This window comes from Homo sapiens, chromosome 7, assembly GCF_000001405.40.
Source record: "Homo sapiens chromosome 7, GRCh38.p14 Primary Assembly".
NCBI classification, from domain to species: Eukaryota; Metazoa; Chordata; class Mammalia; order Primates; family Hominidae; genus Homo; species Homo sapiens.
Window position 1 is genome coordinate 114,822,491 of NC_000007.14, and position 11,543 is coordinate 114,834,033.

The window sequence follows — 11,543 nt, forward strand, 5'->3', positions numbered from 1 at the left end:
GCCCAAAAATCTTAATTTTTTTATTCTTCAAATCTGTTAGAACACAATTTTATAACATGCCATCCTATAACATAATGGACTTAGCCTTTGTTTATGCATTCAACATAATCTAAGTAGTTACAGATTTCTTAATGCTCGTCATCTGAAATATTTAATATAGAGATGACTCTGATATGCCATATATTAGTAATCTTCCAGATGATAATTTTGGATGCAATGAAATCCAGAGAAAAATTTAGTTCTGCCCGTAAAGCTCTAAGAAGATCCCTGTTAACTTTAGCATTTGAGAAATATTCCAAAAGTGAAGATTAGTAGTAATATCACAATGATTGAAAATTACGGGATTATTTAACACTTGAAAATAGTCTTCATTCTGTCATTCACAATTCTCTTCACATAACTTAGAGAAAAGTATCTGAGAAATACTATCAGATAATATTTATATTCTGACTAAAATAAATATATACAAAGCCCTTACAATCATTATTGACACATGTCATTTTATTATGCTGAAACTCCAATTTTCTTGGCAAACTTCCTTTTATCTCTGTTACCAAAAGGAAGACAAAGGCAAGTTGTATTGCACAATATAAAGTTTTAGCTAAAGAGATGGATAATATAAACTCCAAACCCGGTTCTGCCGTTGACAGTGTGTAAATGTGAACAAGGTACTTAGCTGCTCTGGGCCTCTGTTGTCTCAGTTATAAAATGAACAGGTTGGATTAGATCTCCAAATCCTGCTTCAATTAGCTGTTATAGTATAACAAACAATTATAAACATAATGGCTTAAAGCAGTAATAATTTATTATTTCTCAATTTATTACTTCTACAAGTAATGTGGATGGTTCTGCACCTTGGGTTAGGCTTGGGCAATGTCAGCAGGACTAACTGTAATAAGATAGCAGGGTGGCTGGAAGCTGACCAGTCTTGGATAGGCTCCATGTGGTCTCCCATCCTGCATAGCCTGGGCTTTTCTCATGCTCATGGTAGGGTTCCAAGAGAACAAGTAGAAGCATGCAGTCTCTGAAAGCAGAACAGGCATAACAATATGGCTGCCACATTCCGTTGGCCAAAACAAGTCACAAGCCAAATTTAAAAGGTGGGGAAACAAGACTCCACCTTTGATGGGAGGCACTGCAAAGTCACATTGCAAGAGGTATAGCTACAGGAAGAATTGGGCTGCTCTGGCAATCAATCAACCCTTCTAACTTAAAATACTGTGAAATAGCAGGAAATATGTTCAATATAATTTTACCGAATGCTCAGTATGGAGCGTTCCAGGAATACAGGGATATTTAGGAAAATTAAAGAAGCAGAAAGGATGTAACATATTTGTGAAAATAGAATACTCACTATGGTGTGTTTCAGGTATACAGAGATATTTAGGAAAATGGAAGATGCAGAAAGGATATAACGTATTTGTGAAAACTGAAGTAAGCATGTTTTAAGCAAGGCTTCTCTTTAATTATTGTCTGAGTTTCACATAAAGTCTGCTTCATCAACTGGATAAATATTTGACTGCTGTTCAGTAAATTGCATTAGTTTACTTTAACTGTATGCTCAGCCTTATTCAGGCATCCTACATTAGGCAATGTAGTGTGTAATGCATCTCTGCAGGTGACCAGAGCTATTCTCCGTATGAGGTAAATTAAAACTCATATTTTAAAAATTAAACATTCTTGCACTTCATGATTTCAATATTTAATTATAACCTGTGTCAAGGCCTAATCTCTGACTGAGTCAGGCATGAAATTAATCAAAAAAAGAGGCAAAAGCTTAGCAATTCTTCTACACTGTAAAAATAATGTGGTTTCTTTAGTCACACAGTGATGTTCCTGATATTCCTATCCATTTTATGAGGAAGACTCTGATATGCAGTAAGTTAGTAGGTATATGATGACAGTGACCTGTTCAGAAAAAATCAGTAAGATGAAAGAATATTTATTAATTTTAGTAGGAAACAAAACCTCTTTTTTTAAAAAAAGATTAAATGATTAATTATTGACCTTATTGAAAGAGCTAATAGGATATAAAGTTAATGTATTAATATCTTGTGTGGAACAAAAATGAAATATATCCAATAGTATATTTGTTATAACTGTCATGTTTGTTCCCATTTATACTTTATATCAGTTTTTCAAAAACTGCTTGTATGAAAGGATTAACACATTTTTCCAAGGAAGGCGTGCTTACAAAAATAATAAAATACATTATTGCAAGTTTTATTCCTACAAGAATTTGCATAGATTATAGGATTATATTGATCAAAAGAGGAAAGTACCACATTAGAGAAGGGAAATAAATGTATCAAGGTTAGTTAGTAGAATTAGATAGCATTAAGCCAGTGATTTCACAGCAACATGTACAAGTTACCAAGTCATTGTGATGAAATAGGGAAGTTAAGGGAGATGATCACATTATTTTCCTCATCAGAAGAGCAAGGTAAACTGAAATACTATTAAAGTTTGACAACATGGAGCAGAAAACATAATTGAGCCTTGTTGGTTTAATTCTTCCCATGGTTAAATGAGTTGATTACTTATGCAATGAAAATGAAAAAGTCACAGGTAAATTAAATAAATAGTAAGCAGACCTGGAGGAATACGTATCTTCATTTGGTCTACCTTGAGGAAGTCTGGGATCAGTTTACAGAGTAGGCAGAGAAAATGAACATGAAGGGATGAACTTGTATCTAAACAGGTTGTTCTGACCCTGTGAGCTCTGGAGCACCTTGGATTTTGCAGTTCTAATGCTTGTCCCACTAGTTTTTGTTGTAGTATTCTGAAGCATTGGCTCTACTTGTAACACAAATAAATAAAAAATAATAATAAAGCTATATCAGTCCATTCTCACACTGCTATAAAAATACTACCTGAGACTGGGTAATTTATAAAGGAAAGAGGTTTAATCGACTCACTGTTACGCATGACTAGGGAGGTGTCAGGAAACTTACAATCATGGTGAAAGGCAAAGGAGAAGCAAGCACCTCCTTCACTAGGTGGCAGGAGAGAGAGAGCGCAGGGGAAACTGTCACTTTTAAACCATCAGATCTCGTGAGAACTCCCTCACTATCACAAGAACAGCATGGTGAAAACCACCCCCATGATCCAATCACCTCCCACCACGTCCTTCCCTTGACATGTGGGGATTACAATTCAAGATGAGATTTGGGTGGAGACACAGAGCCAAACCACATCAAAAGCCTAACATATATAACTAGACTAAAAATGAAATAAAGTTCTTCAAGGTTTGGAAAGAGATTAGAAGCACAAGCAGTGAATAAAGCTGACACCACAGGCCTGCTGAGTTAGAAGTGGGCAGTGGCAGCCTGGAAGTACATGGATTGGCAGTCCATATGAGATGAGGTCTTAAGCCAGGCTTTCTGTTGGCTGAGGTGAGGCTCTTCTGCATTTGAAAGGAGCTCAAGAAAACTGTTGCCATTATCTTCCTGGGGCTTCACCTTACGGAATGTCACACATACAGGGTTGAAAGAGGAGGGGCCATGGGGTGAAACATTCCTATATGCTCATGTCTAGAAAATGAACTCAGTTGTTTCATAGCTTGGTGGCTGGATCTGTTATAGTTACTGCTTCTTAACAAGGAAATAGTCACAAATTTCCACTGTAAACCCAATTGTGAACTGAGGATGAGGTGAAGAAAGACTAGGAGAAATTACAAAATTCCTACTCTGGATAGGGTGAAGAAAGATGGAGAGAGAAAGAGAAAGAGAAGGAGAAAGAGAGAGAGAGAGAGAGAGAAAATCAAACTAAATCCAACCAATTTTTTTCCATTCAAATCAACCAAAATAAAATTACAAAACAGACAAAGAAAGCTACACTAAAAAAGAATAAAACAAACACAGCTGGGTGTAGTGGTTCACACCTGTAATCCCAGCACTTTGGGAGGCCGAGGTGGGCGGATCACCTGAGGTCAGGAGTTCAAGACCAGCCTGGCCAACATGGTGAAACCCTATCTCTACTAAAAATACAAAAAACTAGCTGGGGGTGGTGGCAGGCGCCTGTAATCCCAGCTACTGGGGAGACTGAAACAGGAGAATTGCTTGAACCTGGGAGGTGGAGGTTGCAGTGAGCCGAGATCGTGTCATTGCACTCCAGCCTGGGCAACAAGAGTGAAACTCCATCAAAAAAAAAAAAAAAAAAAAAAATTGAAGCACAAATTCACTTCATATAAAGAGAATATAATGAAAAATCTCAAAGTCTTTTTAAGTTGATTATATAGGCAGTGGCCAAAGAAACAAAAGAAGGTTTAATACTATATAAACAGTAGTAGAAGTTAAGAAAGGGAAACAAATAGAAATGAAACAGAAACAGATACTTATGAGAAAAATAAATCTTGGAAATAAAAAATACAACTATTGAAATAAAAAGTAAATGAATAAGGTAAACTGTAGGCTGGATACAATCAAGGGGGAATTGATAAATTGAAATGCATTAATAATAAATTCATGACCAAACAAGACAGAGAGAAAAATAACATGAAATCTCACTTCAGAGCCATGGAGAATAGAAAAAAAAGGTTTGATAGGCAATTCAGAGGAAAAGAATGAAAAGACCAACAGTTACATCATATTTGAAGCTAAATAGATAAAAAAATTTCAGATATGAAAAAAACTGAAACCTGAGATCAAAATTTCACTTCACATGTTAATCAGAAGAAGAAACAGGAAAAAACAAAACACATCTATACCTAGATATGTTGTGGTTAAACAACATAATGCCAAAAATAAAGAGAAAAACTTTAAGATGATAAAAAAAAACAGATGATTTACAAAATATAACAGTTAAACTGACAGCAACAATGGCAAAAATAGGACCAGAAATAGCAAAATAGTATTTTCAAGATAGTTGTTAATTAGAATTTTATACCCAACTCAACTATTATTTAAAACTGAGGGATAAATAAAATTATTTTGTGTCTGTAAATACTTTACGTCCACACACATTCTCCAAATCAGCTGCTAAAAATATACTCATAGGAAAAACATTACATACAAAAAACAACAATGAAGTGGATCGTAGATCTGACGTAAAATGCAAAACTGTAACAGTCCTAGAAATAACACAGGAGAAAATCCAGGTGACCTTGAGCTTTGTGATAACTTTCTAGATACAACACTAAAGGCATGGTCCATAAAAGAAATAATTGACAAGTTGGACATCATTACAATGAGAAACTTCTCCTTGGAAAAAGACTCTGTCAAGGGAATGAGAAGGCAAGCCACAAACTAAGAGAAAATCTTAGTAAAAGACATATCTAATAAAGGACTGTTATGCAAAATGTGAAAAGAATTCTTAAAGTTCAACATTAAGAAAATGAACAAACCAATAAAAGATGAGCAAAAGGTCTGAAAAGAAACCTCACCAAACAGAAATATAGATGACAAATAAGTATATGAAAAGATGCTCCATGTCATATGTCACTAGGGAAATGCAAATTAAGCACACATATTAGAATGGCCAAAATCCGAAATGCTGTGAACACTCATGCTAGAATATGGAGCAACAGGAGCTCCCCTTCATTGCTGGTGGGAATGCAAAATGGTACAGCCAATTTGTAGTACATTTTGATAGTTTGTTATGAAACTAAACATACTCTTACCCTAGGATCCAGCAATCATACTTCTTTGGAATTTACCCAAATAAATTGAAAACTTATGTCTGTATGGGAACTTGGACACAGATGTTTCAAGAAGCCTTATCATAATTGCCAAAACTCACAAGCAATCAAGATGTCCTCCCAAAGGTGAATGAATAAATAAAGTGTTACATCCAGAAAATAGGGTATTATTCAGCACTAAAAAGAAAAGAGTTACCAAACCATGGAAAAAAAAAGAAGGAAACTTCAATGCATATTACGAAGGGATTGAAGCCAATCGGAACAGTTACATACAGTATAGTTCCAGTTATATGACATTCCACTAAAGGCAAAACTATGGAGGCACTAAAAAGGATTAGTTGTTTTCAGGGTTTAGAGGAAGGAAAGGATAAATAGAGCACTGAGAATTTTTGGAGCAGTGAAACTGTTCTGTATGATACGATAATGTCATACATTTGTCAAAACTATAGCATGTATAACACCAAGGGTAAATCCTAATGTAAACTGTGAATTTTGGGTGATAATGATGTGTCAATTTAGGTTCATAGATTGTAACAAATATACCATTTTGCTGTGGAAAGTTGATAATGGGGGAGGCTGCATGTGTGGGGGCAGAACGTACACATGAACTCTATACTTTCTGCTCAACTTTACTATGCACATAAAATTGCTCTAAAAAATAAAGTCTATTACAAAAGTATAAACATTGCAAAAATAGGTAACAAAATTTAATTAACTTGTGGCTATTAAAATAATCACCAATTTTTGCATTAAAAATGATAAAAATAAATACAAATGTACACTGCAAAAACAAACAGAAAGTGTTTATTGCACTGTTAATGCAAGCTAAATTTCTTGTTATGTTCAGGAAGAGGACTGAAATTCTGAAGAACATTAAGAAGTTTTAGGAAAATTCAGAGTTAAGCATGTTTTAGTACTTAAACATTTTTGTTTAAATTTTATAGATATCTGCCTGAATGTGATACATTTCTTCTAAATCTGTACAGGGAAAAAGTGAAAAACTCTATCAATACAACAGAAAAGAAGAAAAGCAAAAGCAAAGAAAAATAATGATTGCTAGAAAACACAAAATAAATTGTTAAAAAAGTGCCAAATATATGGTATCATACTATACATAAATGTATTGAACTTATGTAATATAATACAGAGAATATCATATTAAATATAGAGACTATAGAGACTTGTTTAGAACAAAGTGAGAGAAAAGGGAGAGGGAAGAAAAAAGATATATTAGTCAAATACAAACTAAAAGGAAGCAAATATAACAATGTTAATATTTGACAAAATGGAATTTAAGACAAAAAGCATTTGTAGGGACACTACATCATAATAAAGAATCCATCCATCAAAAATATAATACTCATAAACCTCTATGCTTTTAACTACATAGTGTTACAAAAGTTGTAAATAAAAACTATTAAAATCACAAAGTTAAAATTAACATACACATAATCATAAAAGCTTATGTCAAATGTAAAATAAGCATATGTCAAAACCATAGAATGTATAACACTAAGAGTAAATCCTAATGTAAACTGTGAATTTTAGGTGATAATGATGGGTCAATGTAGGTTAATAGACTGTAACAAATGTACCACTTTTCTGTGGAAAGTTAATAATGGGGGAGGCTGCATGTGTGGGGGCAGTAAGTACACAGGAACTCTCTACTCCCTTTCTATATGCAGAACGTAGAAGATATAGCTAACAAAATTACAAACTTTAACTAATATATATAATTAGAAATCTGTACTAAACAAATAAATACGTTTTTCATAAAGAAGATGTCAACATATTTCAAAGGATTGATAATAGACAGACTTATGTTCTTAAATTAGAAAATCAGAGTGAAAGATATTAAAAATTTAAAAAGATTCACATATGTTGGGGAGCTTAAAAAAACTCCCCAATAATTTATAATGTAACTAACTTGAGTAGTTGAGAAAACATCATCAAAAACATCAAAATAAAATATAAAATTATAAAAATCATGCTCACAAGAATATCACTGTATTGCCATATTCCTCAAATTAATCTGTCATTTGTAATAAAATCCAATTAGCATTTTTAATGGAACTTGAAAATCTGATCCTAAAATTCACATGGAAGAAAAAAAGTACAAAGTAATTTTGAAGAAAACAAAAAGGGCAATTACCTTTTGAGGTATCATGATATTATACCTCTACAATAATTAAAAGAGGGTAGTATTGGCTCATCGATATTAAAACAGACCAGTGTCTATAGACAGATCAGAAATAGACCTAGAATATATATCACGTATGAAGGAAGTGACATTATATATAATTGTTGGTAAATGAGTTATTCAATAAAATATGATCAGATTCACGTTGGAAAAAAAGAGATTTCCTACCTTGTACCACAAAGTAAGTTTCCTCTATTGAAAAATTTACTGTGAAATTCTCAAGAGAAAATAAACTATATTATTGAAATTGGAGTAAGAAACACATTTCTTGTAACAGGGACACAAAATCATAAACCATATAGAAAATTATTGATAAAATCTATTCATTGATAAGTAAAATTTCTATATAACAAAAGACATGAAAAGCAAAGTTAAAATTCAAAACTGGAAAAAAGATATTTGAAGATAAAACTGGGAGATGTGTGTGTGTGTGTGTGTGTGTGTGTGTGTGTTTGTGTTGTGTGTATCTGAAAAAATGAATATCCACAATATTTAAAATATTTACATAATATAAAACAAAAGACAACTGAATGAAAAACAAACAGAAGTTAACCATTCTAAAGGTTATTACAGAAACACAAATTTAAAACAACTGTGAAATATAATTTCATACCCAACAGGTAGAAAACAATAGAAAATCTGACAATATTGAATGTTGTTCAAGATGAGGACTGAACTCTGACCTTTTTCTTCTGGTCCAAATTCCTGTCGAAGGGGCTGGGGAGTCACTTTGTACAAACCATAAAATTTCATCAGATAAGTTTTATTTAACCCTATATAACATGGCTTACTTTCCAACCTGACTCTGATGTAATATCACGTGACAGATAAAGAAGGTAATCAAAATATTTCACCCCCAAATACGTTTTTTGTCTTCTTTTAAAATGTCCTGCAAAACTGTTCTTGTTGGGAAAAATTGGTTCTGTAAAGAATCTCTGCTAACATAACTAGATCTCTCCCGCTTCTAGGCCCTCCCAATTCTGAAGAGATTAACTGGGAGTCTAGCCCCTTTTAGAGGAAGAATAGGAAATATTTGCCATCTGTTGTCTCTAATGGCTGCCACTGATAAGGCTTCATGTACATAATAAGAACCCTGGTCTGCACAATCCCTTATCTTGACCCAGACACTCATTTCTATTGATTCCAGGCCTTTAGATAATAACTTTCAAATAACTGCCAATTAGAAAATCTTTGAATCCATGTATGAACCTATGACCTATAAACTCCCTATCCTTTTGAGTTGTTCCACCTTTCTGAACCAATGCATGCCCCACATATTTTATTTGATGTCTTATGACTCTCTTAAATGTATAAAACCTGCCTGTAGCCTGATCACCTTGGGCACATGTTCCCAGGATATCCTGGGTGCTGTGTTACAGGTCATAGTCCTCACATTTGACTCAGAATAAATCCCTTCAAATATTTTACATAGTTCAACTCTTTTCATCAACAAAGATAAGGAGAAATAAAAATTCTCAAACCATTTTGGAGAGTAATTTGGCAATAGCTAGTAAATGTGAAGACACACATATCCTCTGATCCTACATTTCTGTATCTTGTGCTAGATTGTTGTCATTACATTTATTTTAATAGTGAAAATGTGGCAATAACCTAAGTATGTTTAACAGCATTAATATGTGAACCCCAAAGTATCTGAGACAGGTCTTAATCGATTTAGAAAGTTTATTTCGCCAAAGTTAAGGATGCACCCGAGACCTAGCCTCAGGAGGTCCTGATGACATCTGCCCAAGGTGGTTAGGGTACAGCTTGCTTTTGTACATTTTAGGGAGATATAATATATTAATCAATACATGTACAATGTACATTGGTTCAACCTGGAAGGGTGGGACAACTAGAATTGGGAGGGGCTTCCAGGTCATAGGTAGATTTAAAATGGTTTTGATTGGTAATTTGTTGAAAGAGTTATCATCAAGATAGGAATGTCTGGGTTATAATAAAGAGTTGTGGAGACCAAGGTTTTATCATGCAGATGAAGCCTACAAGTAGAAGGCTTTAGAGAAAATACATTGTACATGTTCCTTATCAAATTTAAGGTCTGTGTTGATATTAATGCTGGAGGTTATAATGAGGCTCGTCTGATCCCTCTTCCATCATAGCCTGAATTATTTTATCAGGTTAACTCTGGAATGCCCTTGGAAGAGAGGAGGGGTCCATTCAGATGGTTGAAGGAGAGGGGAGGGCTTAGAATTTTATTTTCGGTTTACAATATATTGTGGCGATTCATATGTGAAATAATATATAATGGTTAAATTTGTAAGTTAGAGCTACATATATGAAGTTGTTGATAAAATATTGAAAAATGTTCAGCAAACATGAAAATATATTGTAGAATGATGCATGTAGTAAGGTACCATTAATAAAGCTTTAAAACATGCAATATTGTAGACTTCATGGATTCATCCTTGAATAAAATTACAATGTTCACATAATTGCAAAAACAAAGGGAAATAGGATTGAATTGAGGCACATAGAAGGATTCACGTGCAGCTGTAATGTTTTTTAAAAATATCTGAAGCAAATATGGCTAAATGTCAAGTTTTGGTAAACATAGGTGTGAATAAAGAGAGTTTATTATCTTATGTGCCATATATTTCACATTTGAATAAAGAAAAGAGATTATTTCTACTTTTTCAGATGTAGTTATTAGCCCATGTTCATGACTCTTCTTTAATGCTTGTAGGTTTTCCCCTCTTTCATTTCCAGATTAAGAATCTGACTTATATCTAAACCCAGTGTAAGACCTGAAGAAGCACATGTGGTAAACCTGTTTCAATGCAGAAAGCACGTAGGGCAAATGATAGCATAACTACTTATCACATAATGTTGGAAATTTATAGTGCCAAATCCTAGGACAAAGAGTTTATGAAAGGAAAGGAAAAAAGTGCATGAGAGAAAATAATAAAACAAAGGAGCCAACTCTTTATCAATGTAATAATAAAGGCACAGCCTTTCCACACATTTGCCGTTTCCCCTCAAAGGACACGTTGCTCAGATCATAATTTCATAAGCTGTTTCAGATATTCAAATTCACTTTCAAGAAGGCCTACATACACAGACGAGTTTTTGCAGTTGTTTTATTTGTAATTAACAGTAAACTCCAAAGTTGTAAGTTAGTCATAACATAGCTTCCTACATGGAGTTTCAGGTTTTGCCTATGTAAGTCAGAAATACCCAGATGAGAACACTAAGTTCTGTTATAGTCCAACTTACTGATTCATCTCTTTTCTTTGGTGATTTGCAAACTGGGATTATGAAACTTTTCTTTCTTTCTTTCTTTCTTTCTTTCTTTCTTTCTTTCTTTCTTTCTTTCTTTCCTTCTTTCTTTCTTTCTCTCTTTCTTTTTCTTTTGACAGGATGTCACTCTGGACTGCAGTGGCAGGAGCACAGCTCATTGCAGCTTTGACTTTCCTGGCTCAAGTAATCCTTCTGCCTCAGTATCCTGAGTAGCTGGGGCCACAGGCATGCACCACCATACCCAGCTAATTTTTATTTTTAGTATAGATGAGGTTTCACTATGTTGCTCAGGCTGGTCTTGAACTCTTGGGCTCAAGCCATCCTCCTGCCTCAACCTCCCAAAATGTTAGGATTATAGGTGTGAGCCACATTGCCTGGGCTCTCTGGCTTATTTTTAATCCAAACCAGTCATTTTATGATTCACAATTTGTGAGAAGGTGAAAATAATAA

General features: G+C 33.9%; 4 annotated features.

Annotated features, from left to right (window-relative positions):
- Positions 768-1,300: an enhancer, noted in NCBI's record as "NANOG hESC enhancer chr7:114463313-114463845 (GRCh37/hg19 assembly coordinates)". NCBI's record gives its function as "activates a minimal SCP1, AML or CMV promoter by ChIP-STARR-seq in primed H9 embryonic stem cells {active_cell/tissue: H9 hESC(primed)}" and the evidence as "EXISTENCE:reporter gene assay evidence [ECO:0000049][PMID:30033119]".
- Positions 768-1,917: a biological region, named in NCBI's record as "VISTA enhancer hs1192".
- Positions 1,252-1,917: an enhancer, noted in NCBI's record as "VISTA enhancer hs1192". NCBI's record gives its function as "enhancer in: hindbrain (rhombencephalon)[5/5] | midbrain (mesencephalon)[3/5]" and the evidence as "EXISTENCE:transgenic organism evidence [ECO:0001131][PMID:17130149]".
- Positions 2,796-3,635: an enhancer, noted in NCBI's record as "OCT4-NANOG hESC enhancer chr7:114465341-114466180 (GRCh37/hg19 assembly coordinates)". NCBI's record gives its function as "activates a minimal SCP1, AML or CMV promoter by ChIP-STARR-seq in primed H9 embryonic stem cells {active_cell/tissue: H9 hESC(primed)}" and the evidence as "EXISTENCE:reporter gene assay evidence [ECO:0000049][PMID:30033119]".